General features: G+C 40.1%; 1 protein-coding gene across 5 annotated transcripts in view; it reads left to right on the top strand.

The window, feature by feature from the left end:
• Window positions 1-18,699, top strand: part of BEND2 (BEN domain containing 2) — a 57,956-nt gene that overhangs the window by 27,443 nt on the left and 11,814 nt on the right. For 3 of the 5 annotated variants that reach the window (XM_017029266.2, XM_011545447.2, XM_017029267.2), the window contains 4 exons: window positions 2,294-2,443; window positions 12,794-12,934; window positions 15,675-15,875; window positions 17,351-17,472. In XM_017029266.2, the coding sequence (XP_016884755.1) occupies window positions 2,294-2,443; window positions 12,794-12,934; window positions 15,675-15,875; window positions 17,351-17,472 (614 nt within the window). The remainder of the gene's footprint in view (window positions 1-2,293; window positions 2,444-12,793; window positions 12,935-15,674; window positions 15,876-17,350; window positions 17,473-18,699) is intronic. The other 2 variants (NM_153346.5, NM_001184767.2) reach the window with 1 other exon arrangement.

The following is an 18,699-nucleotide window of genomic DNA, read 5'->3' as shown; positions in this document are numbered from 1 at the left end:
TTGTCACGAGTAGGTTTGATTCCCACCACCATGACCAAGATACACATTTCCATGATTACCAAGATGTCTCATTTTACTCTTTTTCTTTTCTTTTCTTTTCTTTTCTTTTCTTTTTGTGAGACAGAGTCTCAAAAATCTCTGTCTGTCGCCCAGGCTGGAGTGCAGTGGCGCAGTCTTGGCTCACAGCAACCTCCACCTCTTGGGTTCAAGCGATTCTCGTGCCTCAGCCTCCTAAGTAGCTGGGATTACAGGCATGTGACACCACGCCGAGCTAATTTTTGTATTTTTTGGTAGAGATGGGGTTTCACTGTGTTGGGCAGGCTGGTCTTGAACTCCTGGCCTCAAGTGATCTGCCCACTTCGGCCTCCCAAAGTGCTGGGATTACAGGCATGAGCCACTGCACCCAACTTTGGCTGTTTTGTTTTTTGTTTTTTGTTTTTGTTTTTGTTTTTAATTTTGGAGTTTTTGTAGAGATGGGGTTTCACCATGTTGGCCAGGCTGGCCTCCAACTCCTGGCACCAAGTGATCCACCTGCCTTGGCCTCCTAAAGTGCTGGGATTACAGGCATGAGCCACCACGCCCGGCCCATCTTGCTCTTTAATAACCACACCTGCCTCAGCACATAATTCCCTGAACAGTCATCTGACTGACTGGATGTATGAGTGGTCCTTAATTTTTATTGTGGACACTATTCCATGGTATGGATGTTTCACAGTTGGCTTATTCATTCACCCATTGGAAGATATCTTGGCTGTTTCTAGTTTTTGACTATTACAAGTAAAGTTGCGATGACCACTGATGTACAGATTTTTGTATAAACAGAAGTTTTGATTTCTCTTGGATAAATGTCCAAGAGTGCAAAGGCTTGGTTGTATAGTAATTGCATGTTTAGTGTTATAAGAAACTGCCAAATAGTATTCCAGAGAGACTGTATCATTTTACATTCTCGCCAATTATGTATGAATGATCCGGTTTCTCCATATGCATATTTCTTCTTCTTTCATTGTTTTTTCTTCCTTTTTGATGCTCCAAGATTTGCTTTTTCATCATTCTTTTCTGTTTGATGATTTTCCTTTAGCCGTTCTTTAAGTGTTTGCCAGTTAGTGACAAATACTTCAGTTTTCCCTCATGTGAGAATGTCTTTATCTTCCCTATATTTGAAGGATACTTTTGCCTGATAATAGAATTCATGATTGAGATTTATTGTCTTTCAATATTTGAAATATTTTATTTATAGAAACATTGGGAAAAGCATGAACCAGCCCAGGAAAGAGGTCTGCAAAAACAAATTACAGACCTTTATTAGAAAACAACAGTCACCAGAATGTTTCCTCATTATTTCATAGCGTTCCTTGCAATTTTGGTGAGATTGAAATGATACTTGCTATATGTAGCACTATTTAATCTAGATTCATTAGCATCCGTAGTGCAAGATATTGGTAGCTTTTTCCAATTAAAGTTTTTATTTTCAGAAAAATTTAGCTACACATGCAGTTATAATAAATAATACAGAGAAATATGTGTTTCCATTACCACTTTTCCCAACAGTAACATCTTGCAAAACTATAAGAAATTATCACAAACAGGGTGTTGACGTGATACCTTCTACAGATATTATTGAGATGTCCCCAGTTTTACTTGTATTTATTTGTGTGCATGTGTATGTGTGTGTTTTAGTTCAATTTTTATCATATGTTTAGGTTCATGTATCCTCTACCACAGGCAAGCCCCCAAATGGTTCCTTCTTTTTTATTGCTGAGTGCTATTCCATGGTGTAGATGTACCGTGGTTTGTTTATCTTTTCAGGCATTGAAAGACATCTAGGTTGTTTCCTGGTTTTGGCTATTAGAAGTAAAGCTGCTATGAACACTCATATACCATATAGGCTTTGTGTGAACACAAGCTTTCATTTCTCTGAGATACTGCCCAAGAGTGCTGTTGCTGGGTCCTATGGTAATGGTATGTTTAGTTTTATAAAATACTGCCAAGTTGTTTTCCAGAGTGTCTGTACCATTTTCTACCCCGACCAGCAACATGTGAGTGACCTAGTTTCTCCACGCCCATATTTCTGCTCTTTCTGTTGTTCTTTCTTCCTTCGTGACGGTGCAAGATTCCTTCCTTCATCATATCCTTTCAGTTTGAAGATCTCCTTTAGTTGTTCTTTAAGGGTAAGTCAGCCAGTCACCGTTTTTTAAAGTTTTTCTTTGTCTGAGAATGTCTTTATTTTTCTTTTATTCCTGAAGGATAGTTTCACCTGATCTAAAAAACATGGTTGAGATTTCTTGTCTTTCAGCACTGCAAAATGTTTTACATATTGAAATGTTGTTCAAAACAGAATCTGGCCCACAAATGAGTTATGGGACAATGAGTTACTCAACTGAAATGAAAAATAACTGTGACCAAGATGATGCTTCAGCATCTGCCTGCCTCACTCCCGATTTTGGTGAGTTTGAAATGATATATGTTACAAGTAGCACTCTTTAATCTAGATTGAAAGAATACAGAGAGATCTTGTGTACCTTTACCCAGTTTCCCCCAATAGTACTATTTTACAAAAATATAGTAAAATATCACAACTAGGATTTTGACATTGATGCAATCACCAGATCTACTCAGATGTCCTCTGCTTTTCATGTATTCATTTGTGTGTGAGTGTGTGTGTGTGTGTGTGTGTGTGAGAGAGAGAGAGAGAGAGAGAGAGAGTATATTTAGTTGTCTGGAATTTTATGACATCTACTTTCAGTCATAAATAAACCTAACTGTATCTAGTCATGATACAGACTGTCCCATGACTTCCAGGAACTCTCTTACTGACTTTTTATAACCATATCTACTCCTTCATGTCATTCCCTGCCTGGCCTCATCTTTATTCCATACAACTACTAGTATGTTCTCCCTTTTTATAATTTTGTCATTGTAAGAATGGACTGATATACCATTGGACTGATAAATGGACTGATATACCATTTAACCTTTTGAGATTGCTTTTTTTCCACATAGCATAATTCCCTGGAGATTTATACAAGTTTTTGTGTATATCAGAAATTCCTTCCTGTTTATTGCTGAGTACTATTTCATGGTATGGATTTATCATGGTTTGTCACCCACTGAAGGACATCTAGATTGTTGTTTTTGGCTATTACAAATAAAGCAGCTATGACAACCAGAGTACAGGTTTTTGTGTGAACATAACGTTTTTCATTTTTCTGTGATAAATGCCGAAGAGTGCAATTAACTGCTGGGTGGTATATTAATTGCATGTGTAGTTTTATAAGAAACCGTCAACTATTTCCAGAGTGGCTGTGCCATTTTACATTCCCATCAGCAGTGTATGAGTGATTCAGTTTCTCTGCGTTCTTACCAGCATTTTGTATGTTCGCTTTTTTTTTTTTTTGAGATAGAGTCTCGGTCTGTCACCCAGGCTGGAGTGCAGTGGTGCAATCTCGGCTCACTGCAACCTCTGTCTCCTGGGTTCAAGCGATTCTCCTGCCTCAGCCTCCCGAGTAGCTGGGACTACAGGCATGTGCCACCATGCTCGGCTAATTTTTTGTATTTTTTTAGTAGAGACTGGGTTTCACCATGTTAGCCAGGATGGTCTCGATCTCCTGACCTCATGATCTGCCCAGCACTTAGCCATTCTGATAGGTATATGGTAATATTTCATTGAGGGTTTAATATGCATTGGCCTTTCGAAATGATGTATGGCTCTTCATGTGCTAATTTTCTATCTGCATATCCTCTTTGAAATATCTATTCTTGTCTTATAGTAATGTTTGCTTTTTTATGCTTACATTTTGAGAGTTACTTAATTGAAATGATCATACAATTTTTGTCCTTCATTCTGTTCATATGACATATCACATTGATTAATTTGTGTATGTTGAACCATCCTTGAATCCCTGGGATAAATCCCACTTGGTCATGATGAATGCTCGTTTTGAGACAGTCTCTGTCACCCAGACTGTAGTGCAGTGGCATGATCATGGCTCACTGCTGCCTCGACCCCCTCAGGCTCAAAAGATCCTCCCAACTCAGCCTCCCAAGTAGCTGGGACTACAGGGATGGACAACCATGCCTGGCTAATTTTTAAATTTTTTTTGTAGAGACAAAATCTTGTTGTATTGCTCAGGCTGGTCTCAATCTCCTGGGCTCAAGCAGTCTTCCCGCCTTGGCCTCCCAAAGTACTAGGATTGCAGGCATGAGACCCCATGGCCATCCATGAATGATTTTTTTTTTTTTTTTTTGAGATGGATTCTCTTTCTGTCGCCCAGGCTGGAGTGCAGTGGCACAATCTTGGCCCACTGCAACCTCTGCCTGCCAGGTTCAGGTAATTCTTCTACCTCAGCCTCCTGAGTAGCTGGGACTACAGGCATGCGCCACCATGCCTGGCCAATTTTCTGTATTTTTAGTAGAGATGGGGTTTCACCGTGCTGGCCAGGCTGGTCTCGAACTCCTGACCTCGTAATCCACCCGCCTCGGCCTCCCAAAGTGCTGGGATTACAGGCGTGAGCCACTGCACCCGGCTGATCTTTTTAATGTATTGTTGAATTCTATTTCCTAGTATTTTGTTGAGGGTTTTTGCATCAGTATTTATCAGAGATATTGGCCTGTGGTTTTCTTTTTTTGATGTGTCTTTGTCTAGCTTTGGTATCAGGGTAATACTGACCTCGTATAATGAATTTTGAAGTATTCCTTCCTCCTCTATTTTTGGGAATAGTTTGAGTAGGATTGGTATTAATTCTTTAAATATTTGGTAGAATTCAGCAGTGAAGCCTTTGGGTCTTGAGCTTTTCTTTACTGGGAGAATTCTATTATGGCTTCAGTCTCATTACTTGTTATTTATCTGTTCAGGTTTTGGATTCCTTCACGGTTCAAACTTGGTAGGTGTTATGTGTCTAGGAATTTATACATTTCCTCTAGATTTTCCAGTTTGTTGGCATGCAGTTACTCATGGTAGCCACTAATGATCCCTTTGAATTTCTGCGGTATCAGTTGTAATGTCTCCTTTTTAATCTCTGGTTTTATTTATTTGGATTTTGTCTCTTTTTCTTTTTCTTTTTTTTTATTATACTTTAAGTTCTAGGGTACATGTGCACAACCAACAGACACATGAAAAAATGCTCGTCATCACTGTCTCTTTTTCTTAGTTAGTCTGGCTTAAAGGTTTGCCAATTTTATCTGTCTTTTCAGAAAAGCAACCTTTTCTTTCATTTCATTTTTTGTATTGTTTTCTTCATTTTAAATTCTTTTGCTTCTGCTCTGATCTTTATTATTATTTTCTTCTACTAATTCTGGGTATGGTTTGCTCTTCCTTCCCTAGTTCTTTAAGATACATCATTAGGTTATTTATTTGAAGTTTTTCTTCTTTTTTGATGTAGGCACTTATAGCTATAAATTTCTCTCTTACTACTGCTTTTGCTCTATCCCATAGGTTTTGGTATGTTGTGTTTCCATTACCATTTGTTTCAAGATTTTTTTTTCAATTTCCCTCTTAATTTCTTCATTGACCATTCATTTACCATTGCCCACTGATCATTTAAGAACATATTATTTAATTTTCATGTATAGTTTCCCAAATTCCTCATTACTGATTTCTGGCTTTATTCCATTGTAGTCAGAGAAGATGCTTGAAATTGAATAATTTTCAATTCTTTTGAATATTTTCAGACTTATTTTGTGACTTAACATATGGTCAATCCTTGAGAATGATTCTTGTGCTGAGAAGAAATATTAATAGGTATTTGCAGAACAGCTGCAGAATATACATTTAATATATCCGTGAAATGTTCATATCTATTAGACCCATTTGGTCTATAGTACAGATTAAATCTGATCTTTCTTTGTTAATATTCTGTCTGAATGATCTGTCCAATGCTGAAAGTGAGGTGTTGAAGTCTCTGGCTATTAGTATTGTGGCCTATCTCTCTCTTTAGCTCTAATAATATTTGCTTTATATATGTGGGTACACCAGTGTTGGGTGCATAGAGATTTACAATTGTTATATCCTTTTGCTGAATTGACCCCTTAATCATTATGTGATGGTCTCCTTTGTCTCTTCTTGCAGTTTTTTGTCTTGAAATCTATTTTGTTTGATATAAGTACAGCTACTCCTACTCTTTTTTGGTTTCCATTGGCATGGAATATCTTTTTCCATCCCTTTATTTTCAGCGTATCTTTACAGGTGAAGTGTGCTTCTTGTACACAACAGATCATTGTTTCTTGCTTTTTTATCCATTCAGCCACTCTATCTTTTGATTGGAGAGTTTAGTCCATTTACATTCAATTTTTTTTATTGGTAAGTTGGGACTTTTTCCTGCGATTTTGTTATTTGTTCTCTGGTTGTTTTTCGGTCTTCTCTTCCTTCCTTCTTTCCTTCCTTCCTGTCTTCCTTTTAGTGAAGGTAATTTTTTCTGGTGGCATGATTTAATTTCTTGTTTTTGTGTGTGTGTGTCCATCGTATCTTTTTTTTTTTTTTTCCAGACAGGGTCTTGCTCTGTTGCCCAGGCGGGAGTGCAGTGGTACGATCTTGGCTCACTGTACCCTTGACTTCCCAGGCTCAAGCGATCTTCCCACCTCAGCCTCCAAAGTAGCTTGGACTACAGGCACGTGTCCCCATACCCGGAAAACTTTTTGTATTTTTTGTAGTGATAGGGTTTCGCCATGTTTCCTAGGCTGAACTTTTCTTGAACTCCTAGGCTCAAGTGATCCTCCCACCTCGGCCTCCCAAAGTGCTGGAATTACAGGCATAAACCACCATGCCCAGCCCCATTGTATGTTGTTTGCTTTGAGGTTACCATGAGGTTTGCAAATACTGTCTTATAACCCATTATTGTAAACTAATGACAACTTAACACTGATTGCACAAACCAACCAACAAGCAAAAAGAAAACTAATGAAAACTCTACACTTTAACTTAATTTCCCTTTTTAACTTTTTGTTTCTCTTTATGTCTTATTGTACTATGTCTTTTTTTTTTTTTTTTTTTCCGACGGAGTTTCCTTCTTTTCACCCAGGCTGGAGTGCAATGGCGCAATCTCGGCTCACTGCAACCTCTGCCTCCTGGGTTCAAGCAATTCTCCTGCCCCAGCCTCCTGAGTAGCAGGGATTACTGGCACCCGCCACCACGCCTGGCTACTTTTTGTATTTTTAGTGGAGTCGGGGTTTCACCATGTTGGCCAGGCTGGTGTCAAACTCCTGACCTCAGATGCTCTGCCTGCCTCGGCCTCCCAAAATGCTGGGATTACAGGTGTCAACCACTGCACCTGGCCTGTACTGTCTATGTCTTGAAAAGTTGTTGTAGTTATTATTTTTGATTGGGTCATCATTTAGACTTTCTACTTAAGAGTATTTTATACAGCACAATTACAGTGTTATAATACTCTGTGTGTTGTTATTACCAGTAAGTTTTATACCTTCAGATGATCTGTTATTGGTAATTAATGTCTTTTTCTTTCAGATTGAAGAAGTCTCTTTAGCATTTCTTATAGCATAGGTCTGGTGTTGATGAAATCTGTCAGCTTTTGTTTGTCTGGGAAAGTCTTTATTTCTCCTTCATGTTTGAAGGATATTTTCACCAGATATACTATTCTAGGATAAAATTTTTTTCCTTCAGCACTTTAAATATGTCATGGAACTCTCTCCTGGCCTGCAAGATTTCCACTGAAAAGTCTGCTGCCCGTCGTATTGGAGGTCTTTGTATGTTGTTTGTTTCTTTTCTCTTACTGCTTTTAGGATCCTTTTGTAATCCTTGCCCTTTGAGAGTTTGATTATTAAATGTCTTGAGGTAGTCTTCTTTGGGTGAAATCTGCTTGGTGTTCTATAACCTTGTACTTGGATATTCTTGCTCTAAGTTTGGAAAGTTGTCTGTTATTATTATTATTATTATTATTATTATTATTATTATTATTATTTTTGCGACTGAGTCTCGCTCTGTCACCTAGGCTGGAGTGCAGTGGCGTGATCTCAGCTCACTGCAACTTCCACCTCCCGGGTTCAAGTGATTCTCGTGCCTCAGCCTTCTAAGTAGCTGGGATTATAGGCACGCGCCACCATGCCTGGCTAATTTTTTGTATTTTTTAGTAGAAATGGGGGTTCGTCACGTTGCTCAGGCTGGTCTTGAACTCCTGAGCTCAGGCAGTCTGCCTGCCTTGGCCCCCCAAAGTGTTAGGATTGCAGGCATGAGCCACTGCACCCAGCCAATCTTTCTGAATAAACTTTCTACCCCATCTTTCTCTCGATGTCCTCTTTAAGGCCAATAACTCTTAGATTTGCCATTTTGAGGCTGTTTTCTAGATCTTGTAGACATGCTTCATTCTTTTTTCTTTTGTCTTTTTTGTATTTTCAAATAGCCTGTCTTCAAGCTCACTAATTCTTTCTTCTGCTTGATCAGTTCTGCTATTAAGAGACCCTGATGCATTCTTCAGTATGTCAACCGCATTTTTCAACTCCAGAATTTCTGCTTGATACTTTTTATTTCAATCTCTTTGTTAAATTTATCTGATAGAATTATGAATTCCTTCTTTGTGTTATCTTGAATTTCTTTGAGTTTCCTCAAAACATCTATTTTGAAATCTGTGTTGGAAAGGTCAGATATCTCTGTTTCTCTGGGATTGGTCCCTGGTGCCTTATTTCATTCGTTTGGTGAGGTCATGTTTTCCTGGATGGAGTTGATGCTTGTGGATGTTCGTCTGTCTGGGCATTGAAGAGTTAGATATTTATTGTTGTCTTTGCTGTCTGGGCTTACTTGTGCCATCCTTCTTGGAAAGGCTTTCCAGGTATTCAAAGGGACTTGGGTGTTGTGATCTAAGTTTCTGGTCACTGAAGCCATGTCTGCATCAGGGGACACCCCAAGTCCAGTAATGCAGTGGCTCTTGAAGACTTGTAGAGGTGCCGCCTTGGTGATCTAGGTTAAGATCCAGAAGAATTCTCTGGATTACCAGGCAGAGACTCTTGTTCTTTTTTTGAGACGGAGTCTCATTCTGTTGCCCAGGCTGGAGTGCAGTGGTGTGATCTCTGCTCACTGCAATCTCCACCTCCCGGGCTCAAGAGATTCTCCTGCCTCAGCCTCCCAAGTAGCTGAGATTACAGGTGTGCATCACCATGCCCGGCTAATTTTTGTATTTTTAGTAGAGATGGGGTTTCATCATGTTGGCCAGGCTGGTCTCGAACTCCTGACCTCAGGTGATCTGCCCGCCTCAGCCTCCCAAAGTGCTGGGATTACAGGAATGAGCCACTGCGCCTGGGCTCTTCCCTTACGTCCCCCCAAACAAAGGAGTCTCTGTCTATGGTGAGCTGCATGGAGCTGGGGAAGGGGTGACACAAACACCCCTGTGGACACCACCACTGGGACTGTGCTGGGTCAGACCTGAAGCCAGCAGAGCCCTGAGTCTTGCCCAAGGCTCGCTGTAACCGCTACCTGGCTACAGCGTGTGTTTGCTCAAGGCCCTCAGCCTCTACAATCAGTAGGTGGTGAAGCCAGCCAGGCTTGTGTCCTTCCCTTCAGGGTGGTGAGTTCCCCCCAGCCTTGGGCAGGTCCAGAGATGCCAATCAGAAACCAGGGCCTGGAGCTGGAGACCTCAGGAATCTACCTGGTGCTCTATTCTGCTGAGCTGGCACCCAAGCCACAAGACAAAGTCCTTCCCACTCTTCCCTCCCGTTTCTACAAGCAGAGAAGTCTCTCCTTGTGGCCACCACTGCCGCAGGCCCACAATGGGTACCTCCAGGCCACCACTGCTGTTCACTCAGCTTACGGTGAATGCTGCCAGGCCTGGGACTCACTCTTCAGGGCAGTGGGCTCCCCTCTGGCCCAGGGCAGGCCCAGAAATGCCATCTAAGAGCCAAGGCCTGGAATCAGGGACCCCAAGAGCCCACTTTGTACCCTACCCCACTGTGGCCAAGCTGGGACCTAAGCTGATTTTGGATTTCTTATTAAGGTGCTTTTTTGTGTAGATAGTTGTTAAATTTGGTGTTCTTGAGAACAATCAGTGGAGGCTTCTATTTAGCCATCTAGCTCCGAAGCTGTGTCCTGTGTGTTTTAAAATTTCCTTGGAGACTTCTTTTTGACGTGTGGATTATTTAGGAGTTTGCTGTTTAATTTCCAAGTGTTTATAGATTTTTCTCTTGTCTGTTATTGATTTCTAGTTTGGTTCCACTGTGGTCAGAAAATATACTCTATATGATTTCAATTCTTTTATATTTATTGAGGTTTTTTCCTTTGGCTCAGGCTGTGGTCTGTCTTGGTGAATGGTCCATAGGCATTTGAAAAAAAATGTATATTCTGCTTTTATTAGATGGAATGTTCTATAATGAAAATCCTGTTGGTTGGTTGTGTGTTACTCAGGTCTTCTCTGTCCTTGCTGATGTTCTGTCTGGTTGTTCTTTTTTTTTTTTTTTTTTTTTTTTGGAGACAGAGTCTCGCTCTGTCACCCAGGCTGGAGTGCAATGGCATGATCTTGCCTCACTGCAACCCCTGCCTTCTGGGTTCAAGTGATTCTCGCACCTCAGCCTCCTGAGTAGCTGGAACTATAGGCGTGTACTACCACGCCTGGCTAATTTTTGTATTTTTAGTAGAGACGGGGTTTCACCATGTTGGCCAGGCTGGTCTCTAACTCCTGATCTCCAGATGATCTGCCCATCTCAGCCTCCCAAAGTGCTGGGATTACAGGCATAAGCCCCCCGTGCCCGGCCTCTGTAAGGTTGTCCTGTCAGTTGCTGAGAGGTGGGTGCTGAGGTCCTCAATATAATTGTGGGTTTGTCTATTTTGCCTTTCTACTCTTTCAGTTTTTGCTTTATGTATTTTGAGACACTTTTGATTGGTGTGAACATATTGAGGATCATTATATTTTCCTGGGGGTTAACCCTTTTATTGTTATGTAGTGTTCTTATTTGTCTCTGGTAACTTTCTTTGCTCTGAAGTCTGTTTATTTTATCTGATATCAATATAGCCACTCTGCTTTCTTTTTTTTGGATTAATATTTGCATGGTGCATTAGTCCATTTTCATACTGCTATAAAGAAGTACCTGAGACTGAGAAATTTATGAAGAAACGATGTTTAATTGACTCAGAGTTCCACAGCCTTAACAGGAAGCATGACTGGGAGATCTCAGGAAACTTAAAGTCATGGCAGAAGGTGAAGGGGAAGCAAGCACCTTCTTCACATGGTGGCAGGAGAGACCAAAGGGGGAAGTGCCACACTTTTAAACCATCAGATCTCATGAGAAGTCACTCACTCTCATGAGACCAGCAAGGGGGAAATCTGTGCACATTATCCAGTCACCTCCCACCAGGCCCCTCCTCCAATTTGACATGAAGTTTAGGCAGGGATACAAATCCAAACCATATCACATGGTATATATTTTTCATTCTTTTACTTTTAATCTACTTATGTTATTGAATTTGTAGAGTTTCTAATAAAGAGCATATAGTTGGGTCTTGTTTTTCTTTTCATTTACACTACCTGGCAATCGAGGGTCTTGTTTTTTATCTACTTGGTCAATTGCTGCCACTTAATTGGTATGTTTAGATCATTTACATTTAACGTAATTATTGATACAGGGTTTAAGTCTTCCATTTTATTATTTTTCTGTTTATCTTCTGTTTCTCATTCTCCTTTTCTTTTTCTTGCCTTCCTGTGAGTTACTTGAACATTTTAAGTATTCCATCTTGATTTGTTTGTTTTTGAGTATATTGATTTGTGCAGTTTTCCTAGTGGTTGCTCTGAGTGTTACTGTATACGTATGTGACTTATCACTGCCTGTTGGAATCAGCATTTTACCATTTGGAATGAAGTGTTGAAACTTTAATTCCACTTAGGTTTCGTTTTTCTCCCCACCTTTAAATATCATTGTTATAGGTATCAGATGGTGTTTTCATTTTTGTTTCAGTCATTCCATATGATTTAGAGAACTCATGATGGTTTTGTATCGCCTTTCTTTCTGCTCTTTCTCTTCTTCATTTTTATTGCTGAATAGTATTCTGTGGTATGGATTTACCACAGTTCCTTTAACCATTCACCTCTTGAAGGACACTTGGATTGTTTTCAGGTTTTGGCTATCACAAATAAAGCTGCTAAGGATACTCATGTGAAGGTTTTCATGTCAACATGAGCTCTCATTTCTCTGGGATAAATACCTAAGAGTGAAATTTCCAGCAATTTCACTCTTAGGTGCTTAACCCTAAAAAAACCCCTGCAATTAATTACCTCATTTTAAATTATAATAATAATTACAATGATAGTAATTGTAATTACAAATGTAGTAATTGTTTTCCAGTGTGGCTGTTCCATTTCTCCACATGCATCTTTCTATTCTTTCTTCCTTTCTGATGTGCCACTGTTCCTTCTATCATCATAATCTTTCTGTTTGAAGATCTTCTTTTAGCCATTCTTTAAGAGTAGGTCTCCAGCATTTTGGGAGGCTGAGGCAGGCAGATCACTTGAGGTCAGGAATTCAAGACCAGCCTGGCCAACATGGCGAAACCCCATGTCTATTAAAAATAGAAAAATTAGCCAGGTATGGTGGTGGGTGCGTGTAATTCCAGCTACTCGGAAGGCTAAGGCATGAGAATTGCTTGAACCCAGTGGGCAGAGGTTGTAGTAAGCCAAGATCATGCCATTGCACTCCAGCTTGGGCAACATAGTCTAAAAAAAAAAGAAAGAAAGAAAAAAAAAAAGAGTAGGTCTGCTGGCAACAAATCTTTTTAGTTTTCTTTTGTCTGAGAGTGTATTTCCCCTCTGTACCTGAAAAACAGTTTTGCTGGATATAGAATTGTCAGTTGAGAGTTCTTTTCTTTCAGCACTGTTACCTCTGAATATTTTGGTAAAAGTAGACACCAACACGGAAAACAGCGTCAACACAATGAATCGCTCAACTTTATTGGACAGTGACAGTGGCCAGGATTCTTCCTCATCATCTGTCTGTATCCCTCCCAAGTATGGTGAGTTTGAAATAACACACATTATAAGTGGCACTATTTGAGCTACATTCTTCCACTTCCTTGATGCAAGACAGTGAAAGCTCTGTGTTTCCTATTTTGAGGATAGGTTTTAGGTGATATTCAGAACCATGACTAACATTTATTGAGTGCATATTACGTGCAAGGCACTGTGCTAAACAATTAACATGCCTCTTCTTCACTTATACCCATAATGACTCCATGGTGTTGGCACTTTTATTATCCCCATCCCCAAGGTCACAGAGCTGGTGAGTAGGACTTGAGCTCTGCCCCAGCTTTCTCTGACTTTAAAACTCATGTGTCTTTTTTCTTTTTGAAGTGGAGTCTTGCTCTATTGCCCAGGCTGGAGTGCAGTGGCATGATCTTGGCTCACTGCAACCTCCACCTCCCAGGTTCAAGTGATTCTTCTGCCTTAGCCTCCCAAGTAGCTGGAATTACAAGCACACACCACCACACCCAGCTAGTTTTTGTATTTTTAGTAGAGATGGGGTTTGGCCATTTTGGCCAGGCTGTTATCAAACTCCTAGCCTCAAGTGATCCATCTGCCTCGGCCTCCCAAAGTGCTAGGATTACAGGCATGAGCCACCGTAACTGGCCTAAAGCTCATGTTTCTTACCAGTCCACTGTACTGCCTGCCAAGCCACAGTGGCAGAGATGAGGGGACCCCAAGCTCTGTGGCTTCTAAGGGTAAGCCTTCCAAATATTTTATAGTCAGTTCATTTTTGTCTCAACTTCTAAGCAGCTTATCTCTTATTAATATCCTAGAACAAGGATCAGGAAACCTTTTCTGTGAAGGGCTAGATAGTATTGTCTGTCACAAATACCCACCTTTGCTGTTGTAAGATAAGAGCAGCCTCAGCCCATAGACGAATGAATAGGCGTGGCCATGGCCAGCACACCTTTCACACACATTGGTGGGGGGATGGGCCAGTGGACTGCAGTTTGTTGACTCCCTTCCTAGAGGAGAGCTTATTCCTTTAAACTATTTTGTTACTCAAACTAGAAGAAATTTCAAGAATTGTGGTCTCGGCTGGGCACGGTGGCTCAGGCTTGTTAATCCCAGCAATCTGGGAGGCTGAGGTGGGAAAATCGCTTGAGCCCAAGAGTTTGAGACCAGCATGGGCAACATAGCAAAACCCCATCTCTACAAAAAATACAAAAAATTAGCCAGGCGTGGTGGCATGTGCCTGTAATCCCAGCTACTTGGGAGGCTGAGGTGGGAGGATCACTTGAGCAGCCCGGAAGTTTGAGGCTATAGTGAGCCATGATCATGCCACTATACTCCAGCCAAAAAAAAAAAAAAAAAAAAAAACAGAAACAAAAGTTGATTCTCTGTACTGAAATGGGCACTCTGATACATTGTTAGAAATATACATTGGTACAAACTTTCTGAAAGATAGTTTGTAGAGAAATCCATAAAAACATTTATGGCAGTTGACTGTAATCTCACTTTATCTGAAAGTATAATAAAAATTACATAAAAATTTTGGTCTAGAATGTCCTTTACAGAATGATTGGGAAAAATTGGAAGCAAACAAACAAAAATAAATGATGATAGGGAATTAATCACTTGACTTCTGGTGTATCCACAGCATGTGAGGCAGTAAAGCCTAATGGTTGAGGGCATGAGCTCTCATGTCTGCCTGCTTGATTTCAAATCCCAGCTCTTACTAACCTTATGACCTTCAGCCACTTTCCTAACCTAAATACTAGTTTATTCAGTTGTGAAGTGACAAAAATAATAGTGTCTACTTCATAGAATTGTGAGGATCAAATTGGACAATGCATTTAAAGCTCTTAACACAATGCCTGGGATGTAAGTACAACATAAATGTCACTTGTCAGGAAAATTATGATGACAGGAATGCAGATTAAAAAAAAAAGATGAAAACAGAGAAATGCTCAAAATATAATGTTAACTGAAAAAGCAGGATTTAAACTATACTTAAAGTATGATTTCAATTTTGTCTTTTAAAAAAATAAATAGGAAAAAGAATGGAAGATATTAGTAGAAGATTCATGGTTTAGAGCAGTTAACTCATAAACAGACAGATTTTAAAACTGGTTCTGTAACTAGCAGTGTGACCTTTTCAAATAACTTATCTCCTTTGGGCCTCAGTCTCCTTATTTGGAAATAATGGGGTGGGAATAATGGGGTGGGAGTAATGATAGAGTTGTTAGAATGATGAAACTGAGCTAGTGCACAGATGTAAAATATTTAGCACATGCCTGATATACAGGAACTACTGATAAATGCTAGCTATTTGAAAATTTTCTTAATGATCCCCACCCACGCTTTCAACATTGTCTTCAGGGAACATCCACTTGCCCAGTGGAATGGCTCTGAGTGTACTCTTAGAGCGTGAAATGGAGCAGTGGGAACTCAGGGCAACATGTTTACATATGCACCTGCAGCCTAACAATGACATGTGTTCAAGCTAATGAACAGAGTAGTTCAATACAGCAAGCTCAAGACCAGTAGAAGTGAAGAATGTTGACAGTTTGGCAGATGGTGGCAAAGAGACCCATTTAAGGAAGAGGAAGAGATAAGCATAGAAAAAAAATTCACCCAAGTAGAAATTCATGAATTAGAAATCATTTATCTGCATTTGCCTTATTTGAAGAAAAAGAAGAAATAAATCAGTGTAATTCTCTTGTGTACTTTGAGGGTACCCTTGCATGACAAAACCAAGGATGTTCCTTTTTCTCTTTATTTTTAAAGGCTATCTTGGTGATCCAAAAAGAAATGTCAGAGTACTTAAAATCCATTTGCTGGCCGTACAAAATATGGCCAAACCTAAGCAAGCAGCCTGCTACTTGGTTCGTATTTTGTTCTCCAAGGAAATCCTGATTAGCAGCTCAGTGGATATCCATTTGAAAGACAGCCAATCCCTCGACCCGAACAAAATGGCTGCATTGAGAGGTATGTGTACATAAAGTGATAATGGAATCTTATTTTTAATCATCATTTGGTCATATAATGAATGTTATTGGCAGTTGAAGGAATAACAATAAGTCTGTGTAAATCTTAAAACTATTCATTTTTTTCACCTGTCTGACCCTGATTTTACAACTTAATAATATATAATTGGTAACAATTTCCAAAGAATAAAACTTGTCCATTGACTTGAATGGTTGAATAAGACAAGCCTCATCTACTATAGTTGTTTATGGTTAGTACTAAGTCAATTCTTTAGCCCTGAAACTTGCTACAAAAAAAAAAAAAAAAAAAGGAAAAAGCTCCCTCTGCCAGAAGGTGGTGGGGTGGGGGGCGGGGGGGAATAAAAGACTTGTCAGTGCTAGTGACTAGCAACACAGAAATAGAATTTTATGATTAGTTCTTTTTAGCCTCCTGCCTTCCTGCCTTCCAGACATGTCTATTGAGATCCTAGAACTCATGGATACTAAGGATACCACAATGAATAAGTGTTTCTGCCTATGAGGAGCTCATAGTCTAGAAAGGGACATGTTGATGGAAACAGATACATCCCAGTCCAGTGTGGTAGTGTTGGGGAAGCTCAGAGCAGCTGCTTTGAGGGAGTTGGGGAAGGCTTAGCTAAGGACAGGACATTTGAGCTGGATTCTGAAGGACTCCTTCAGTAGGTAGAAGGAACAGGAGGATGTTCTAGGCAGAGGGAAGAGCTGGGGAAGATAGACAGGATGAGTGAGCCCCTGGTGTAATCATGTTTGCAGTAACACTATTTTCTCTTGATATGTTTCCTTTTAGTTCTGATTTATCCATTGGGTTATTAAATGGTCTGAGCACCCTGAAATAGTCAACATTGGGTTACACACTTAAAATTTTTTTTTTCAGACGCATGGTCTTGCTCTGTCACCCAGGCTGGAGTGCAGTGGTTTGATCATAGCTCGGTGCAGCCTCGAACTCCTGGGCTCAAGCAACCCTTCCTCCCCAGCCTCCTGAGTAGCTAGGCCCACAGGTGCATGCCACCATACCCAGCTAAGTTTTGTATTTTTTATAGAGATGGGGTCTCACTTTGCTGCCCAAGCTGTTCTCAAACTCCTGATCTCAAGCGATCCTCCTGCCTCGACCTCCCAAAACACTGGGGTTACAGACATGAGCCACTGTGCCTGGCCTACACACTTTTTTTTTTTTTTTTTTTTTGAGCACCAAGAGCTCAATATTAGCTTCCTACGTCAGTGTTTTAGGGGATCTCATGGTAGGGGAAATAATTCAGCAAAGCATCCTCATTGGGTGGAATTTCTAAACTCTCAGAAAGAATAAGAGAAAAGGATGAGAAGTAGAAAGAGAAGAAGTCACCAGAGTGCTCACCATTACACAATGTAACCATCTAAAAGTCAGTGTTTAAAGAAAAAAATTTTTCATTAGTTTGTTAATTTTTTTTTCTAATTTTCGTGAATACTTTCTGCTGTTTGCAGAATATCTGGCAACAACTTTTCCCACCTGTGATTTGCATGAACATGGAAAAGACTGGCAGGACTGTATTTCTGGTATCAATTCTATGATCTACTGTTTATGTTCTGAAGGCAAGAGTACTCCAGTAAGTTATTTTTCATCTAAATATGGTAACTGTTACCTGAGTTTGTACTGTGTACAGTTTCAGAACTGATAGCATGAGGCACAGTCTCTTTAGGCCATGTGCTAAAATTCTCATTAACTTAGGGGGCATGGGATGTTCTTTCAAAAGCACACTGCATGTTTATTTTACTTTTTTGATATTTATGCTCTATAAAAATATCCTAAAGATAAATAAAATAAAGTGCTATAATTAGTATATTTGAAGCCAAGGATAATACTAGGAAAATAGTTTCAGCTACAAAGATATTTGGCAAATCTTTTGCAGTATCTCACCGAGCAACACAAAAAGGAGCCAGCTGTGTGCTCCTTGGCTGTTTCAATGGTAGCTGAGGAGGTGCAGGGGAAAATGCAGGCACTTCGTTACTTGTTCACTTTTAGTGATGATGGAACTTGGTGAAATAAACTCATGTCATGACGTTAAACGATTACAGATATTTTACACTCCATATAGTTATGTGGTAACAGAAATCTAGTTTCTCTTTCCTCCAGTCTATCTTCAAAGTACATTAGAGATTTTTGTTTGTTTTACCACAACCGGGCCATTAGGGAAGAGTGTCATATCTGTTGTCTTCTGATGAAACATGTATCTTAATGACAATTCCTAATTTCCACCAACCCCCTTTTCTTCTGGCCACGTCTAGTCGCTCCTGTGTCTCTAGAGTAAGTTTATGGAAACAATTTGCCAAGAATATTTGTAGCTGAGCGTATGTTTCCCTGGTGAACGGGTTGATTTCAGTGATAGCTCAAGCACCATCTGCCTGAAACCAAATCTGCTTATTTTTAACATTCCGTTTTATAGCCTTCAAAAATTGCACCCTAAACAATTTGAATGTAAAATTAAGACACTGCCTGGAAAATGGTAATTTGCATATTTGCTTAGGTGTCAGAAGAGAAGCAGTGTCTGCCAAGTGCCTGCTATGTGCTTGACTAGGAATGGGACAGGTCCTTGCCACTCAGAGTAGGTCCACAGCCCAGCAGCAGCAGACCACTGGCAAGCTTGTGAAAAATGCAGGGTCTTGATTCAGAGGCAAAATTTGCATTTTAGCAAGACCCTCCCCAACCCCCGTCCCCAATGTGATTTGTGTGCACACTAAAGTTCAAGAAGCACTAACCCAGAGCAGTGGTTGTCAACCCTGGGTGCATATTAGAATCACACGAGACACTTTTAAAAATAGTTACTAACGCCTGA

Source organism: Homo sapiens, chromosome X, assembly GCF_000001405.40.
Source record: "Homo sapiens chromosome X, GRCh38.p14 Primary Assembly".
In the NCBI taxonomy this organism is placed as follows: domain Eukaryota; kingdom Metazoa; phylum Chordata; class Mammalia; order Primates; family Hominidae; genus Homo; species Homo sapiens.
The sequence above is the reverse complement of the archived record's forward strand: the minus strand, read 5'-3'. Positions and strand labels throughout refer to the sequence as shown.